At 36.3% G+C, this 20,526-nt stretch overlaps 1 protein-coding gene across 16 annotated transcripts in view, besides 1 other annotated feature; it reads right to left on the bottom strand.

The window, feature by feature from the left end:
• CDKAL1 (CDKAL1 threonylcarbamoyladenosine tRNA methylthiotransferase) overlaps positions 1-20,526 on the bottom strand; it is a 697,948-nt gene that overhangs the window by 413,495 nt on the left and 263,927 nt on the right. Inside the window, exon 1 of one of the 16 annotated variants that reach the window (XM_047418956.1) lies at positions 13,191-19,602. The exons of the other annotated variants lie outside the window; for them this stretch is intronic. The gene's annotated coding sequence lies outside the window, so the exon portion shown is untranslated. Of the gene's footprint in view, positions 1-13,190; positions 19,603-20,526 lie in introns of those variants that run through there. 16 annotated transcript variants of the gene reach the window in all.
• Positions 7,955-8,549: an enhancer, noted in NCBI's record as "H3K27ac hESC enhancer chr6:20810592-20811186 (GRCh37/hg19 assembly coordinates)". NCBI's record gives its function as "activates a minimal SCP1, AML or CMV promoter by ChIP-STARR-seq in primed H9 embryonic stem cells {active_cell/tissue: H9 hESC(primed)}" and the evidence as "EXISTENCE:reporter gene assay evidence [ECO:0000049][PMID:30033119]".

The raw sequence follows: 20,526 nt of genomic DNA, 5'->3' as shown, positions 1-20,526 counted from the left end.
TTGTACAACCTAAATTCTAAACATAATGCAATAATCAAAAGGTACCATAAGAGGGTGAACAATGAACCTCTCTACTACTCCCCAGGGTATTACATTATCTCACTGTGACTCCATGACAACAGAGGCACTTTAAATATATACATATTAGTGTGTGTATATATATAATTATTAAGTATATAACTATATAGTTATACAAATATATTTATAATAATTTTATAAATTCTTAAATGTTTACTTAAGATTAATGTATCTGTCCTAACAAAACCTACTCTTTCATTATGAATGATGCCTTGTAAAGGTTATGTCCCAACTGGGCAACTATATAACCACACTTCATTATTTTCAATGGTCATAATATAGAACTATATTTTTTAGGTCATAATATAGAACTATATTTATTTTTGAAGTAATTGATTTCAATTATAGGAGACAGAAAAGTTATGTTAGCTTGATTTTACTAAGAAGGATCTTAGCACTTTTCTTCAAGACAAAACACTCAAAAGAGATAATTATTGATGCTGGATTGCTATTTATAATACAATCTGATAATGCATAATAATTTGAGTTTATTGCTGTATAGTATGTGAGTAACAAAAGCAAAAATGTGAGCCACGTGACATTACTACTGTGGAACAGTTTATAGAATTCAATCCAGAAATATACCTCAAGTGAAGAAACTGCTAACCCTAGTTTGAGACATGTTATCAAAAAACCATAATCTAGCCCTTGATTGTGATAGTTTGTCATTTGATCTCCCAAGACCAAAAAAGACATTGTGTAAGTTCTGAAACAAGCCATTATCCTAGAAATGATTCACTCGCTTGAGGAGAGCACCTTTGGGAACAGCTGACACCACACTATGAACTATAATGTAAATGAGTACTTGGTAAAGAGGACTGATGGGGGTCAGAGTGGAAGGAAAAGGCTCAAGAAATAGTAGTGGCCCCTTCTTCAGGAATGGGAGGCTTCAGGCTACAATCATGCTAATACAGCCTGTCATTATTATCATAAAGCATTCCTTGAGATCAGGCAGTTCTTTTTTCACAAACACCCTATGATAAAAGTTCCTTACTGATGTAAACCATAAAAACTCTAAGTAAATAATAGTATATCTTGGATCACACAGAGCTATTTAGACAAATGGTGTTTGTATGCTTGCCGGAGGTAGAAGACACCATATCACTATTGCTTCAAACAACAATAATTAGTCAACTCTTTTCAGATAGTTTTTTAAACACCTAAAATTCTCCATGTCATTTAAAGCAATAACATAAAAAAATGAGTAGCATAAAAACATGACATCTTCCTGCAGGTTGTGAACAGTCTGCCAGGGCCACCCCGCACATTGTGTTCATGGCACATGATTTACTAAACTGACTGAATAATAGTCTTTATGCTTTCATGTTCAAAGTGTTTCTTTTTTCCCAATAAAATTATTTAATTAGAAAAAAACATAAAATCTACTTTCTCTGACCTTCTAACAAATAAAGAACTTTTATTGGCCTGTAATTTACTACGAAGAGACAGTGTATTAATAATGTAAACAAATGAATACAATAATGTAAACAAATGTAAACAAAAGAAAATAAGCAAAATTCCACTTCAATTTTTTTAAATGGGCTGCCATATAGAAAACTTCATAGAAGATGTTCATACATATTTCCTATTTTTTACACTGGAGCCTGCAGGTACGTATATTAATAAAAGAACTAGTGCTACAAGCAAAAATCTCAGGAAATTAAGGCCTGAGCTCTACTTCCAACTATACCAATAACTAGTAATATGATTTTGTTTTCATTTTTCTAGTATTTAACATGGTTTTAATGCCTACCTTTCATAGCATTACAGGAGTTAAAGAAAAATAGCATATGCAACATAGCGCAGTGCATAACACACAATGTCCTCAAAGAATTTTGGGTGTTCTTCCAAACCCTGCCCTCCACAATCCTCTGTTTAGATTAGTGAAAATCTGAAACTAATCTAAGTGTTAAATTAAACACAGCCACAATAATACTTAATTCACCATTATTATAGAGAATAGCTACTGACTCTTGAGATAACAAAAATAAAACTGGAGGTGGTAAACATTTGTTCAACAAATGAGAAAAATGACCAGATATGTTCTAGCTTATATAAGGACCAGGATGAGCACCAGGAATGTCTTGTTATATACCACACCAAACAAAAACACTCATGCCACTATTTTTTTTTTCTTAGTTTTCTGATCCAATTAGATTAATTATTCAGTTCTTTATGATTCACAATTTGGGTCTGAAAACATATTCTATTCACTTAGAGATATAATACAATTAAATTATTTTCAAGAACATTGTAACAAAGAGCATTCTCATTTTCTAAAATTAACCAGGATATAAGCTCTAAGAAAATTTAATGACCTCTGATTTGCTTTTCTATGATGAAGCACTGTCAGGTCATGATGGAAATCTGTGTTTATGGGCAAACTGTAGGTATAACTAAATGCTAGCACATTGCAATGCTGATACACTCTAGTACCAATTTTGCCTAGCAGCAGACACTAAAATTCACTGATAGAAATGAAAGTACAAAGAAAGCTTTGACATTAACAGAAAGGAAAGTAACAATAGAATGCTGTATTGGGTTGACTAGTATCCCTGCAGAATTCACATCTGCCAGGAATCTGTGAATGTGACTTTATTTGAAAACAGGGTCTTTGTAGATATAATTAAGTTAAGATGAAGTCAGATGAGAACAGGGTGAGACCCTAATCCAATGACTGTTGTCCTTAAAAAAAAAAGGCGGGGGGGGGGACATATTAAGGCCATGTGTCCAGATATCAGTATGGACACAGAGAATGGAGTCATGCTGCCAAAGCCAAGGATCACCAAGGATTGCTAGCAATGAGCAGAAGCTAGAAGCAGCAAGAAAGGATTCTCTCCTATAGCTCTGGAGAGAACATGGTACTGCCTACACCTTGATTTCGGGTTTCTGGTCTTTGGAACTGCCAGAGAATAAATTTCTGTTATTTTAAACCACCCAGGTTGTGATATTTTATTATGACAGCCCCAGGAAATCAATACAAGAATGTGCACAGAAAACTGATCTCAGTTGTGTTAAAATTAACATGCAATTATATGCATACCAACATACCAGAAGTTACCAAACTGTTAACAGTGGTTATCTCTGGGTGGTAGACTAGCTGATTTTTATCCAACTATTTGTGCTTTTTTCAAATTTTCTAAACCTTTTTTTAATGAACATGTTTACTTTCATAATCAGAACAAAATCCAATAAAGATGACTAATTTTTTTTTAAGTGTAGTCAGTTAAACTAATCAGGAAGCAAAGCATAAAGAAAAAAACATGAAAAATTAGAAAGGGCAAAAAACAGATAACCATCAAAAAAGAGAAAGTTTATTTAAAAAAAAAGGAGAAAAAGAGATTATACAAACTTCTGTAAGTGATTTTGAAAACCCAGTTAAACTGGATAATTTTGTAGAAAAATACAATTTACCAAAACTGAACCCAGAAAAGTCTAAGAAGTTCAATTAGCACAGGAGAAACAGAGAACCTAAAACACTTCTTCTACTCAACCCTTAAAGACTAGATCATACAAGTACTATATAAACTACTAAAAACAGAGAAACAAAGTATCTGATACTTTTCTTAGGAAACAAACATGGTAATAATTCTGAAATCTGACAAAAAATTTTTTAAAAGCCTGCAACCGTTCTCAAGAATACCAATGCAAAAATGCTAAATGCAACTGGCAGAAGACTTTTGCTTCTGGCCAAAATAAAGTGACAGGGACTGGATTTACCCTCCTACATTAAGGAATTTTAAAATGTGACAAAACATATGAAAAACATGTTCAGATATTAGACAAATGGCAGTGCAAAACAGTGATAACTGAGAGGAGGAAAACAGACAAGATGAGCTCACAGATTCTCCAACATGGTGCCTAAAGAGTTTCCAGATCTCAACATATAGATGGGGAACCCCAAGAAAGCATGGCAGCCTTAGCAATGTAAAAATAGTTCAGCTATCATTAACACTAAGTCAGTGAAAATTTGTAGGGCAGAGTATGAAAGATGAACAAGCTTAAAAGAACTCTGGAGAATGATAGAAAGGCTCCCTAGAATACTGACCAAACTGTACATGTACAGGAACTACAGGGGCCAGGGAAATAGGCAAAACAATTCCTTTCTAGTCAGAGGAAAAAGATTTCCTAATACATAGGGCATTGAGCAGAGTCAGCAAAAGCCTTCTGACTTAGTAGTGAAGGAAAATGAACTGTAAACTAAAAGCTGTTCAATAGCTGCATAACAACATTAAAAGCAATCAGAGAAAAAGGTCAGGCATGTTGGCTCACGCCTTTAATCCTGACACTTTAGGAGGCAGACGCAGGTGGATCACCCGAAGCCAGGAGTTCGAGACCAGGCTGGCCAACATGGTGAAACTCCATCTCTACTAAAATTACAAAAGTTAGCTGGGTATGGTGGCAAGTGCCTATAGTCCCAGAAGCGGATCACTAGAGGCATAAAAGTCATAAAGAATGAAGTAAAACTGTCTTTATTCACAGACAACATGACTATCAAAAAAATTCTTATAAATCTATTAAACAACTGCACATAATGAGTAAGTTTAGGAAGGTGGGAGAATACAATGTTAACATTAAAAAAAAATTTTATTTTTATATAATAGTAACAAACACTTGGAAACTAAAACTTCTTAAAATATCATTCACAATAACATGACAAAATATGAAATAGTTAAGAGTAAACTTGACAAAAGATATGCAAGACCTATTAACAAAAACTACAAAACACTGTTGAATTTAAGGAAGACCTAAATGAAATAGAGATATACCATGTTCATGAATGAGAAAACTCAATACTGTAAAGATGCCAATTCTCCCCCAAGTGATCCATAAATTCAATGGAATCCAAATGACAATAATAAAAGAGGCATTTTTTTGTAAAAACTGCAAAAGTAATTCTAAAATCTATAGAAATGTAAATAATTTATAATATTATAACTAATTTTTTGAAAAAAGAATGAAGTTAGAAGACTTACATTATGATTTCAAGCAACACTTATCAACTCCGTGTGAAACTAGTGTAAAGGGAGATATACAGAACAATGGAACAGAACAGAGAGTTCAGAAATAGACCCACATATATAGAGTCAGTTGAGTATCGACAGTGTTCCAAGACAAAGGGAAAGGATTATCTTTCAACAAATGGTGCTGGAACAATTCCATATCCATATTTAAAAGAAAGCACCTCAACTCTTATTTCATACAACATGGAAAAATTAACTGAAACCAAATAACAGACCTAAATATAAGAGCTAACATTACAGAATTTCTAGGGAGAAAAGACAAACAGGAGAAAGGGTTAGTGGCCTTAGGTTGGATGTGAAACACAAAAAGTACAAGTTATACTTGAAAATATCATAAACTGGACTTTATCAAAATATAAAACTGTTGCTTTTTCAAAAAACAATGTTAAGTAAATGCAAACACAGGTAACCTAATGAGAGAAAAATGTTTTCAACACATAGCCAATAAAGAACTTGTATCTAGCATATAAAAGAAATCCTAGCACTAAATAGTATGCCAAACAAACCAATAAAAAAGGACAAAAGATTTGAGTAGGCACTCAACCTAAAAATATACCTGAGGCCAGGCACCATGGCCCATGGCTGTGTAATCTAGCACTTTGGGAGGCCAAAGTGGGGAGATCACATGAGGCCAACAGTTTGAGACCAAGCTGGCCTATAAAGCAAGATTCTCTTGAGAGAGACAGAGACAGAGACAGACAAGGAGAGAGAGAGAGACAGAAAGGATGTTCAACATCATTAGTCATTAAAGAAATCCAAATTAAAATTGCACTGAGGTATAATAACTATATACTCACTACAATGGCTAATATTGACAGAACATATTGGGTGTTGGTGCCAAGGTAAAGCAAATGGACCGCTCAAAAACTGCTAGTGTAAATATAAAATGGTACAACCAATTCAGCCATACCACACCCTAGAAAAATGGGAGCATATGTCCACAGAAAGATTCACAAATAAATGTTAAAAAAATTGTATTTGTAAATCAGAAAACACAATCAAACCAGGTATCTATCAACAGGTAAACGAATAAACAAATGTTGGTATAGCCCTACCATGAAATGCTACTCAGCAATAAAAAGAACTCAGTCATCATATATACAATGATACAAATGAATCTAACAATCTAGGCTGTTAGGTTGTATTAAAGAAACCAGAAAAATAGGGGAACGTACTGGATAGTTTCATTTATGTAAAACTCTAGAAACTGCAAGCTAATCTATACTGACAGAAGGCAGATCAGTTCTCTGCAGATGGGGATGCAGAGAAGAATGAGTTATAAAATAGCAAAAGAAAAATTTGGAAGTGATGAAAACGTTCATTATCATGATTATGGTGATGGTTTCATGGACGTATACGTAAGTCGGACTCTTCAAATAACGCTCTAGAAAGACTACTGACAGCATGTCAAAATAATCTATTAATAGGAGCCAACTTGAAGGAGCCTCCACTAGCCAATAAGCAATAGTTTGAAGCACATTAGAAATGCTTTTCTAAAGAAAATCCCCCAAGTGCATAATGATTCATGGTTAAAAATTAAAACAAAAACAAACCATAATACTTAACAATTACCTTTGCAGAATGTTGGAGAACCAATTCATTTTTTAATATCTTAAATAAAACCAAAGGAATTAGGCATTCGTCCTACCTTTCTATAGAAACTATAAAGCAGGGTAACCAAATTTTTAAAAAAATTCTTTTCAGAGGAATTCCAACTAAAACATGAAGAAGCAATAAAATTAAAATATCAAAATTTTGCAATCCTTAATAAAATAATGGATCCAGGCCAGAGGTCGACAAACTATAGCCAGCTTGCCAAATCTGGCCTATACCCTGATTACGTATGACCAGGGATCTAAGGATGGCTTTTATATTTGTAAAGGGATGTAAAAAGAAACAAAATTGTTTGATAGACATTTTTGTGACTTGCAAGCCTAAAATATTTATTATCTCACCCATTACAGAATATGTTTGTCTGCCCCTAATTGAGCCAACAGTCCAGGCTTTTTTTTTTTTTTTTTTACTACTAGGTAAAAAATTGATAAAATCTTACAAAGGCTGGATCAAGTTAACAACACATAACCCGCAGATTAGCAAAAGTAAGAGGAGTAGACATGAGACCCTGTTATGATGTAATATGCAGTGTACAGCACCAGCTATGAAGCATGCTTGCCATAATGCTGAATTCTGGTCAAGTGCCTAGATTTGATTTCCAGTTTACAACACAATCTGGGGATAAAGACACACATTAAATAACACCATGAGGATGCAATTAGCAAAATCCAGAATGTGGAAAACTACAGGACAAATGAAATGGTTTCCTTAAATAAACTGCAAAAAACGAAGAAAGAAAAAAATGAAACAACAGACAAAAAGATACTTAAGACACAAGGTGAGTAAAGGGTTAACATTCGCCAGGGCTGAGTCAGACTTTCCTGGGAATGACCTCAGCGTCTCGACATTTATCTCCTTGGTAACAACAGAATTAAGATAAATGCAGAATGTTAAGTCAGCCTCATCTGCTGTATAGAATTGCCCCGGATGGAGAAAGCTAGGAAATGGTACACAGGCCTTGGGCCTACTTAACTAAAATGACCTAAAAAATCAGTGAAAAATCAAGGCTGGGTCTTTGCTTGATAAGGTAGCATCCACACACCTTGGCTCTTGTCCATGGCAGTCAAAATATTCTATTTAGATGAGAAAAGAGCTGTACATTAGGGTAACTGCTAGGTTTCCTGAGATGAAGACGTTGTACCTGCTATGTCTCCTGCTCATATTCCTTACATGAATCTAAATAAAAATAGTATTGAAGCCATTTCAGTCTTACAAGTCTGATGGCCAAGTTGGACAAAGAACCAGAGCTGTGGTGGCACAGACCCAAAGCGTTGCAGGGATCTTGTTTGGGTCCTAATTCAAAACAAAGAATTGTAAATACTGGGGGTAGGGTGGGTGAGAAAAGGAGATAAAGAGGGCGAATGAACAAGAGCACTAACTGTGAAAGCTTGGAGACTGACTAGATGTTTAATGATATTAAGGAAACCTAATTAATTTTATTTTAGATGTGACAATGTTATTGGGTTGTTTTGTTTTCCAGAGAGAGGAGAGAGAATGAATAAACACTTTTTTTTTTTAGCAATATATTACACACACACACACACACACACACACACACACACACACCCATACATACACACATAATCTTTTTTTTAAAAAGAGAGTGTCTCACTCTGTCAGCCAGGTTAGACTGCAGTGGAATGATCATAGCTCACTGCAGCCTGGAACTCCTGGGCTCAAGCGATCCTCCCACCTCAGCCTCACGAGTAGCTAAGACCACAGGCAACAGGTGCGTAACATGACACCACGTGTGTGTGTGTGTGTGTGTGTGTGTGTGTGTGTGTGTGTGTGTGTGTGTGTGACAGAGAGAGAGAGAGAGAGAGAGACTCTCACTATGTTGCCCAGGCTGGTCTCAAACACATAACTGGTATATTAACTAATTAAATGATACAACAACTCCTGCACTTTGCTTCAAAACAATTTAGTTGTGCTGGGGCAAGAGAAGGGGCAAGGGTGGTGGAAGACAGATAAAATAATTTGGATTGCCCATGAGTTGATAATTGCTGCAGCTAGGTAAGTACTTGAGGGTTCATTATACCATCTTCTCTTTCTATGTGTTTGAAGTGTTCTATAATGGTTTAAAAGAGTTAAAACTGTGGAAGAGCAGAGGGTAGAAAAATAGGACACAATTGAAGGATCACTATCAGTCTGCGGGGCTGTCCATCTAAAAGTTTAGATGTGATTCAGCCTCCTTAGAAATGTCTTCATCTATCTTTAAACCAACTTGATGCTTGTTTTTCCATTTTGTATTTGTTAAAATTTGAATACTAAATATAGTAAATACTTCTGAATAATTTCTATTCATAAGATCTTAAAAGTAAAAATATCTTAAGGAAGTTACATATCTTAAAAGAGACAAAAACCAGCTAAGAATACAATAAAAAGTCAGGATACACCAATCAATCTCTGATTTTCTGTCACTTGATACACTCTTCAAGAAGTAGAGCAACTCATCTTTGAATTGACTTCTTCCTTTCTACGTTTACTTATTCTTCAATTGTTAGCCTTCTATTTTGCTCATTTTATTCAATTCAATGGAACAAATATTTACTGAGTATTCACTAGAATGATGCATTCTGGGGAAAGCATATGAGAACAGAAAAAAAAGGAAAAAAGTATGTTGCCTCCTCTAAGGCCAGGAAGCAAGGGTTTCATTCCCAACTACTCCAGATCCAAAAATCATTCCAAGTGTAGTAAAATATCAATACATTAAATTCTCTGCTCTCAGATGGTTACAAAAAATGATACCTCTGCTCTCAGATGGCTACAAAAAGTGATACCTAATCAGCTTGTTGTACTTCTAAATTTGATTTTGGAAACAGACACCCAAAAAAGTTAAAAATCATTAGTGATATGAAGTAGAACAAAATTCTTCAACATATTAAGTGAAGAAACGCATGGCCCCTGGGTGCTAATAACTTGAAATACCCACTGCGTTAAGGAAGGAATGGCCCTGTGAGTGATGACTGGGGTTGGGAGCTGTAGCTGAAAAGTCTTAATTAGGAAATACTGACCTTAGATGTCTGTTACAGTAAGTTGTTTTGGAAAGAGTCCTCAGGCAAAAAGATCACAGATTTTGTTATGCTTTCCACTGTAAACAAGTTTTTGCTTTCCCTCTGATAAAAACACTGTGGTTTCTGCAAGCAATATTAATAGAGCCAAAATGCATGTATGGTCTTTGCCTTCAAAAAAGATTTACTTCAAGTGTTATAGCTAAAAATTAAAGTTTGATGTAGTAAAAGAGAATTATGCCATGTAGTCAAGAAGAGAATCTGAAACAGCTCCCTCAACACAAAATCAAAGACAGCAGTTACTTAGTGACCAGAGTCTATTTCAGGAGCCCAGTGAAAAATCAGCCTTGTTTCAAAATAGAAAACACAGTAGAAAAATATACTTATTTTGTGAACGAAATAAGTATAATGTACAGGATACATCAAAATAGCATCCATATTTTCTGTTACTACCTCATACTAATAATACATACATCCAATCCCATCTTCTCTCCTGAAACCCAGAACCAAATTTTCAACAGTTGGTTTCAACCAACTGTTGAAAATCTCCCATAGGCATCTCAAAAACTGATCCAAAATTCAACTAACTTATCTTTGTCCCACTACCAAAATTCCTCTTCCCTCTGAACTCCTTGTCTGCAAGAACACTGCTATAATGCTCCAGCCAGGAACTGTGGGCGTCATCTCTCCCTGTTTCCATCAACCCCCTTTGCACATCCAATCAACTAACAAAAAGATGGCAAATTTTTTTCTTTAAAGAAACAGATAGTAAATATTTTTCATCACCAGACTTCCTAGGCCAAAAGTCAATGTCAAGGTTATTATGTAGGTACTTACATAATAAGAGTGAAAACAATTACCATAAGCTTTTCATTGACAACATCCAAAATAAAATAATAAAAATAATAAATGCAATTTTTTGTAATACAAATCTCTTAAGGAGAAGAATAGAATTTTTTCTCTGTGGAAGAATAATATTTTACTTAATTTGGGTTCAAAGGTAAAATGCCCTAGCAACAAAATTAATTACAAATTTTAATCTGCTAATATTGACATATGAAGAGATTTTACTTATTTCATTTTTTAAAATGTCTTTCACACAGATAAGTAATGGCAAATACTGATAGCAATCAACAAACGTGATTTTAACTGAGCAAATTCATCACTTGGAAGGTATCTATAGTATTCTATTCTTCATATTTACCTTTCAGCATGTCATTTACAATACAGATTAATCAATCCCAATGAAGATTAGGTGTGAGTTCCTCACTGCACCCCTTAAATGGATTTTGAAGTACAGAAATTTACTTTGCTCTTTATTGAAGTCCAAAAAACTGTTGCTGTAGTTTGAGCTCAGAATATTTATCTGCTGCAAATTTGGAAGGCAATAAAGAGCTTGCTTCTTCATTTAACTTTTGATGGCACATGAAGTGTAGAAAGCAGCTTGATATTACATATGACATGAATATTCGTTGCTATCAAAATGACTTTACAGTAATATGTTTTACATATAAGTGCCATTTTGCTTTTAATTTTGGATTAATTTTGGATTAATTTTATTAGGAAATATTATCAAAGTCTCCAGTAAAACCTAATTTCCAAAGCCATTTAGTGTTCAGAAACAGTAGAGAAGGGCAGTTCTTTTCATTCAGAAAAATTTCAGGCCGGGTACAGTGGCTTGCGCCTGTAGTCCCAGCACTTTGGGAGGCCGAGGTGGGCCGATCACAAGGTCAGGAGTTCGAGACCAGCCTGGCCAATATGGCGAAACCCCATCTCTACAAAAATACGAAAATTAGCTGGGCGTGGTGGCATGCGCCTGTAGTGCCAGCTACTCGGGAGGCTGAGGCAGGTGAATCGCTTGAACCCAGAAGGTGGAGGTTGCAGTGAGCCAAGATCGTGCCACTGCACTCCAGCCTGGGGCAACACAGCGAGACTCCGTCTCAAAAAAAAAAAAAATCAATTTTGGCCCTGACCTCAAAAATAAATAAATAAATAACAGTAAAACTTTGCCATTACTAAACCACCAAACTGCTGTGTGTGGTAGAGCAAGTCAAAATAATCAGCTTCAGTTTCTGACAATAATTCCCAGAACTGACAAAGGCTAAGTCTTCATGAGTAAATGAAATGAAGTTCACCAATGACACTTCAGTTCAGCACATGACAGATACAAATACTTTCATCAGTATCTAGTGACGAATAATACAATGAACATATGCTTTAAACACTCTACATTTTCACAGATTTGTAAATCTAAGACTTGTTCTGCTTCACACATATTTTTACCGTATCAGCTGTAACACATCTTAGCAGATTCCACTTCAGCTTGAACTAAGTAATGCTTTATTAATTTCCTTGTAAATATCCTCGCTTGTAGTTGTTCCACATAAGGTATTCAGATAAGCTAATTCTTCATTCACTTCAAACTCATCATTGCCTCCTCTAATAAACAACAATTGAATAGTACTAGAAAAATCTGTTGACTCACAACTGGTCTGAGATACCATCTCAGACCAGTCAGAATGGCTATTACTAAAAAGTCTAATATTAACAGATACTGGTGAGATTGTGGAGAAAAGAGAACACTTAAACATGCTGGTGGGAATTAAATCAGCTCACTCATTGTGGAAAGCAGTTTGGCGATTTCTCAAAGAACTTAAAACAGAACTACCATTCAGCCCAGAAATCTCATTATTGCATATATACCAAAAGGAATATAAATTGTTTTACCATAAAGAAACATGTATGTTCAGCGCAGCACTATTTACAATGGAAAAGACATGGACTCAATCCAAATACCCACCAACGGTACACTGAACAAAGAAAATGTGGTATGTGGAATACTACAAAGCCATAAAAAGAATAAGTTCATGTATGTCCTTTGCAGCAACATGGATGGAGTTGCAGGACATTATCCTAAGCGAACTAACGCAGAAACAGAAAACCAAATACCACAGGTTCTCACTAATAAGAGGGAGCTAAACATTGAGTACATATGGATACAAAGAAAGAAACAACAGACACTGGGGGCTACTTGAGGGTAGAGGATGTGCGAAGTGTGAGGATCCAAAAACTACCTAACAGGTACTACACTTATTACCTGTACAGCAAACCCCTGTGACATATAATTTACCTACATAAAGACCTGTACATATTACACACATTGCTGAACCTAAAAGTTGAAAATTAAAAAAGAATAAGACCCCAAAAAACATTTGAAATCATATGCCTTGTTTTTTAAATTAAATATTGCTGTATCTCCCCATATCCTCAACTCTTTGAGCAACTGCTCTCGCCATTAAATAGTCTTAAGTTTATTTTCAGTGCACATACTTCTTCAGCGGCTGCAATCAAACATGATTTAATAAAATCACTACTGATAAATGGATCTCCTTGCTTGGGTAACAAATGTGCCAATCAGAAACTTACAGTGGTTATAGTCTCATTTTCGTTTTTTTATACTTACAAAAAATTTCTGCTGAGAATAGATTTTCCATTTTAAGTTGTCTTAATTTTTCTGACTGTTGCCCTCCTGTGAATTGGGAATATTGTGATGAATGCTTAGTCTGCTAATGTTAAAGCATATTGTATTATTTTTACCACAGCTATAGTTACCACATAATAAACACAACGCTTTGCCATCTAATTTGATAACAAAGTAATCCTCACTCCACTGTGCCTTAAAAGTGAGATATTCAAACTATGCTTTTATTTTGGCATGATGGGTATGCCCTGCTAATAAAAAATAAAGTAAAATAAAAACAGTGATATACATCCACTGAAAACACTGTGGAGTTAGTTGTAACTGCAATTTATAGTGTGCTGACCAGCATTGCAAACAATGAAAGCTCCAGTTTCAGGGGTCTCTAGATACTAACACACATATTCGGTGACTCATTAGAAGAACTCACAGACTCAGGAGACAGTTGCACTCATGGCTATAGTTTAGTACAGCAATTAGTAACAGAAAAAGACACATCAGGTAAAATCTGGAGGAATCTGTGCACAGGCTTCCTGTGCTTTACCTCTCAGGAGAAGCCATACAGAACACAGTCCATCCAGCAGTGAAATGCAGTAACACACATACATGATCTTTCTACCTAGAGCAGGTCATTAGAGACTCAGAATCCCAGGTTTTAATTTTTCTTTCTTTGTTTTTTAGAGGCAGGGTCTCACTCTCTCACCCAGGCTGGAGTGAAGTGGCACAAGTAAAGCTCACTGCAACCTCAAACACCTGGGCTCAAACAACAGGACTTTTATTCTGGGCTGGTCACAGAGTTATGATGACTAGTCACAACTATCAAAACAGTAGACTAGCAGAAGGAAAGCAGGCGTTTGTACTCCAGGCAGGAAAAATGCTTTTATCAGCTTAGGGAAAATTCTAGGAGTCAGGCTCCCAGATACTACTCAATGGTTAACCTCACCCCCATGGCCCCAGTACCAAGCAGATCCTTCTAAAGATGGCAGCCCAGACCTGCTCTATTGACTCTTTCCTGTACAACATCATAGATACTGTCTGCTGCAGCTGCTCAATTCTGCCACTGCAGCATGAAACCAGTCAAAAACAATTTTAAAATGAGTGAATGTGGCTGTTTCCTGATAAAATTAAAAATATCCATAAATAGTAATGGATATTGAAACTTAAATTTCATGTAATCTTCATGTATCACAAATTATTATGTTTCTTTTTATTTTCCCCAGCTGTTTAAAAAATGTAAAAACTATTTTTAGATCACAAGCTGTTCTAACAAAAGCAACTGACTAGCTCTGGCCCACAGGCTGTAGTTTGTTAATCCTTGAACTAACCGATCACCTGTATTCTTAGTCCCAGTTATTCTTGCCTCTCTCATTCTATTTTCTCTCTCTGAGTTCATACTACCATTGTTTCTTTTCTGAATTTTTACAACTAATTCACAACTGTTTCTGTATTTCATCATTGTATCCGTACACCTACCATCATAGCTGGCACAATAGTATGCACTCAATTAAGTCATTTTTACTGAATGACTTAATAGTAATTCTTAAACCATTCAAGTTATTTTTCAAATTGGTAGATAGTCATTGTAAAATGTTATAGTGTAGTTATATTCAAAGATTTAACAGAATACCATAAATGTCAGTAGAAGAGAAAATAATTAAATATATAATATTGGAAAATTGTTGACCAATGATATAAATATCACATTTCATTTTCTTTTTCCCTAAACAGGACCAAAAATAATGAAAATTCATCCACCCTTGTCAACACATCTTCCTGCCTTGAAGGTAGAAGTGTTATATTATCCTAAGCACTTCCACCTACATTCTCGATCCCATATGCTCCGGAAACTTACTCTACCAAATAGTCTCACTTCTTATTTGGTCTCTCTCTTTTCCCAGTAGCTATTTCTTTTAAATATAAAATTATTTTCTATTTCTGCCATTCCTAAAACCACAAGAATAACATCAGCTCCCCTGATTCTCCCCAACTAGAGCCCCATCTCTACTCTTCCCACTGGCAACAAACTTCTTAAAAGATACTATCTTGTCCCTATGCCTCATCTCCTGCCCACTCTTCCACCTACGTCAATCTGCATTTAACCTAAACAACTCTCCTGGAATTGCTGTCAGGTTACCATGAACACTTTACTATCACCGCCAATGGCTTATTTTTAGTTCTCAATTATTCTCCTCTCTGCATCTTCTGAGAATATATTATGATAAAAATTGTACAAACGTGATTAACAACTCTTCCTTGAGAAGGATGGTGACACTTGACATGGAAAAGGCGATATTTGACAAAGTTTTGAAAGATGACTATAGTTGGCTAAGCAGGCCTAGCAGAAGTAATGGCATACACAAGGGCATTAACACATGTTACAGAATGGTATGTTGAGACAGGCAGGCTGGCATTGATGAGTATTAGTTGTAACAGGGAAAGGAGAGAAAAGGCTGGAAGAAGCCATGGGACTCTTATACCACCCTAAGGAGTTGGTAATCTTCCTAATAACACTGTTCCTCTACCTTGTTTGCAAACTCTCTGGAACCCTATCACAAATGTATACCCACATATAAGCAAATATTAAGTAAAAAAGTTTTCACAATTTCAATCCTATACACTTGAGAGATGGCAACAAACGTGGCTTCAGGTTATTTAATATAATTCCAGATTAAGTTCAGACATTCTGTCAGTTCCTTGTAGGTCAAGCCCATTACTGTCCCCAAATAATCCTGACATCTGTCAAGATAACATGTTAGGATGTCTCTTCTGCATTTTAAAAATGCATGTTCTTTCCTGGTAATTTCAGCAGTACTCTTCTCCTTCCTGCAATCCAATTAAAAAAGTTTTCTGCAGACACAGAGTAATCTAAGACATTTAAGATGTCTAAGCCCCACCCACTCACTGGCCTTCAGGGTCAGATTTCTTCACAATCATCTTTCTGTGCTCTGAGAAATGCTTTGCATTTTTGAAACGAACATCAAAATTTTCTACTGAACTACCTGTAAATGCCTGTGACTCAAAGCATTTTTAAATCACTGTAAGGCCTGTTTTGTGGTACCCCTTTGCAATCATCCAACTGGAAAGAATGCTTATGTTGAAGAACATATATATGTTCTTATATATGTGTGTGTATACATATAAGAATGCATGTATATGTGTATGTATATATTTCACATATATATCTCCAAAATATATATATTTGCCTAATCAAACAATAGATACAAAGGTTGAGAGTACTGTAGTAGGAATGATGTTTTTCTTTCTTTTTGAGACTATAGGGTGAGGACATGCATATACTTTCAGTATTTTAGAAAGTAATATGAAGAAAATGATTTGCTAAAGAAAAATAACTCATTCACATTATTATTATTATTATTATTATTATTATTGTTGTTGTTGTTGTTTTTTGAGACGGAGTCTTGCTTTGTTGCCAGGCTGGAGTGCAGCGGCGCAATCTCGGCTCACTGGAACCTCCGCCTCCTGGGTTCACATGATTCTCCTGCCTCAGCCTCCCGAGTAGCTGGGACTACAGGCGTGCACCAACATACCCAGCTAATTTTTGTATTTTTAGTAGAGACGGGGTTTCACCATGTTGGCCAGGATGGTCTCAATCTCTTAACCTTGTGATCCGCCCACCTCGGCCTCCCAAAGTGCTGGGATTACAGGCGTTTGCCACCACTGCACCCGGCCGTCATTCATATTTTTTAAAGGTTAACAGCAAATATTGCATGTGGTTAAAAACACATATTTTAAGAAAATATTTTATCAAGTTGTTGCATAATAGCACACTTAAAATTCTTAATACATTTAAGAAGGATGTTACACATTGGGCTAAAATAATCTATTATTTCCATCACTATAGGGACAAAGACAGGGAGGGGATTACAGCTTTGATCTCAACACAGAAAATGCAGACTATTTACCAACACATCCTTATAAATCAGGGGGATTACTATATTTCCATTGCGAAATTATGTAAATACTATCTGGTCACAGGTTTTTTAAAAAATAGAGATGGGAGTTACACAGGCATACGCATTTGTCGAAACTCAGCCATGTGCTTGCTCTTAAGATGTATATATTCCATGGTTTCAAAATTTTACATAAAATCCTACAAATACTGATGTCTATAATGTCACGTCTGATGTAGTATTTAGAGGAAGTGTTCTGATGTCTGCAATTTCATTTGAAACATGTTAAAAAAATAAGTTGGACTGATGGATGAATAGAAATGGATGAAGAAAGATATGACATAATAAAGATGGTAAAATGTTAATAACAATCTTCATGGTGGGTAGACAGGTGTGCACTGTAAAATTTTTTCGACTTTGCTGTCCATTTGAAATTTTTCATAATAAAATTTTGGGAAAAAATGTAAAAGCCTGCTATGGTTTCATCTGCAGAGCCTCGTTAGCAAGCCTAAGGTGGTAGATGAGGATAGAAAATTTCTTCAGGGAAAAACCCAAGATGAAAGAATAAGGGGCCAGGAATGGCGGCTCATGCCTGTAATCCCAGCACTTTGAGAGGCCAAGGTAGGAGGATCACTTGAGTTCGGGAGTCTGAGACCAGCCTGGGCAACATAATAAGGCCCTGTCTTGACAAAAATAAAAATAAAAATAATTAGCCAGGTGTGATGGCATATGCCCATAGTCCCAGCTACTTGGTAGGCTCAGATAGGAGGACTGCTTGAGCCTGGCAGGTTAAGCCTGCAGTGAGCCTTGAAAGCACCATCATGCTCCAGCCTGGATGACAGGGCAAGACCTGTTTACCCCAAAAAAGAAAGAAAGAGTTGGTTGGGTGTGGTGGCTCATGCCTATAATCCCAGCACTTTTGGAGGCCAAGGCAGGAGGATCTCTTGAGCCCAGGAGTTCAAGACCAAGCTGGGCAACATAGCAAGACCCATCTCTATAAAATATCAGCCAGGCAAGGTGACACACGCCTGTTGTTTCAGCTACTCAAGAGGCTGAGGTGGGAGGATTATTTGAGCATGGGAGGTCGAGGCTGCCATGAGCCATGATCACGTCACTGCACTCCAGCATGGGCAACGGAGCAGGACTCTATCCCCCACCACCCTCAAAAAAGAAGGATGTCAAATTAGTTTAAAATTCCTAGTAAGTATCAAAAGAATTTTAAAAGCTGGGCATGAGAGTTTAGAAGTGTTTCATACATATATATGAAAACATCATCATAAGAGACAATGGGCATATATGTCACCCTACAAAGCTTCTTTGTGTACCTTTGCAATTCCTCCCTTCCCCACTCCCAGACCAATTTGCCTCAGGGATTCACTTATTTGCTTTCTGGAACTAGAGATTTGTTTGCATTTTCTACAGTTTAGTTGGAATAATGTAGTGTGTCATAAATTTGTCTGGGTTCTTTTACTCTGCATAATTGAGTTTCATCCATGCTTTTGCATGTACCCAGAGTTAGTTTCTTTATGTTGCTGGGGAATATTCTATTGTAACCCTATCTCACACTGTGGGTTGTTTCCCATTTTTGGCTATTGCAAATAAAGCTGCTATGAGAATCTGCTTTAAAAGAAAAGAAAAGAAAAAGGCTGCTGAGCATGTATATGCTGGTCCAGCAGTTCCAGCAGGGCTGGGTGCTCTGAGATATTGTAGGGAATCCATGCTGTTGCTTTTCCATTGTATAGATTTTCATAGGCAGCCCTGCAAAGGGGGGATTTGCAATTCTTCCAAATATATGGCTAAGATGATTCAATGGTAAATATAAGGGCCTGATTAAGATTTCGCAGTATCTACTAACATGCAAAAGGGTAAATTTAAACAAATCATCATGAGTACAAGTGACCAAGTACTTTTAGATTTGTACAGTTTTTATAGGCACAAGTTCCAAAGCAATAATTATTTCTTTCTCTACTCAAAGCATCAAGACAAATTGCAAGTCTGGTGTACACATGTGCACGAAGGTAAGGGGAGGATGCACACATCAGCTTACTGGTAAGCCAAATGATTTTCTTCTGTGGCATTTTTGTTCTAACCAGATTCCACCTTGGCCCAATCCTACCTCCAGTAGCAATACAATACTACTGAAAGATGTCTTCTGATCAACAAATGGAGACTGGCAGGAATTGCCAAAACAAAAGAGTATTTCCTCTAATGGAAAATCATACGTTAAATTTTTTATATAATAAGTCAAATCACGACATAATCCTGCTATATAACTGTCTTTTTAAAAATTCTTATTTATTATTTTAGTGGTATACAGTAGGTGTGGTAACTGTCTTATTAATCGTCGCATATTACCCACAGGTGACATATTCCATTCATTACTGAGGGTAAGTTCAGTGATACCTAATTTACCCTTAGCAACAGTTCAAAAGCTCAGTTCTAGGCCGGGCACGGTGGCTCACGCCTGTAATCCCAACACTTTGGGAGGCCAAGGTGGGTGGAACACCTGAGGTTGGGAGTTCGAGACCAACCTGACCAACATGGAGAAACCCCGTCTCTACTAAAAATACAAAATTAGCCAGGTGCGGTGGTGCGTGCCTGTAATCCCAGCTACTTGGGAGGCTGAGGCAGCAGAATTGCTAGAACCCGGGAGCCAGAGGTTGCAGTGAGCCAAGATCATGCCATTGCACTCCAGCCTGAGCAACAAGAGCAAAACTCCGTCTCAAAAAAAAAAAAAAAAAAAAAAAAAAAAACTCAGTTCTTTTCAAATATATGGGCCCAGGCCCATTTTCCTCTCAGTCCAGATGACTTTGTTCCAATTTAAATGAGATGCAAACCTTTTAACACAATTTTCTTTTCTTTTTTTTTTTTTTTTTGTATTATTATACTTTAAGTTCTAGGGTACACGTGCACAACGTGTAGGTTTGTTACATATGTATACATGTGCCATGTTGGTGTGCTGCACCCATTAACTCGTCATTTACGTTAGATATATCTCCTAATGCTATCCCTCCCCCCTCCCCCCATCCCATTACAGGCCCCGTTGTGTGATGTTCCCCATCCTGTGTCCAAGTCTTCTTATTGTTCAATTCCCACCTACGAGTGAGAACATGCGGTGTTTGGTTTTCTGTCCTTGTGATAGTTTGCTCAGAATGATGGTTTCCAGCTTCATCCATGTCCCTACAAAGGATGTGAACTCATCATTTTTTATGGCTGCATAGTATTCCATGGTGTATATGTGCCACATTTTCTTAAACCAGTCTATCATTGATGGACATTTGGGTTGGTTCCAAGTCTTTGCTATTCTGAATAGTGCTGCAATAAACATACGTGTGCATGCTTTTAACACAATTTTCAATCTACCCTGGTTCTCTACCTAAATATTTCTTAATAAATATTATTTTCTTCAC

This window comes from Homo sapiens, chromosome 6 (assembly GCF_000001405.40).
Source record: "Homo sapiens chromosome 6, GRCh38.p14 Primary Assembly".
NCBI lineage: Eukaryota > Metazoa > Chordata > Mammalia > Primates > Hominidae > Homo > Homo sapiens.
The sequence above is the reverse complement of the archived record's forward strand: the minus strand, read 5'-3'. Positions and strand labels throughout refer to the sequence as shown.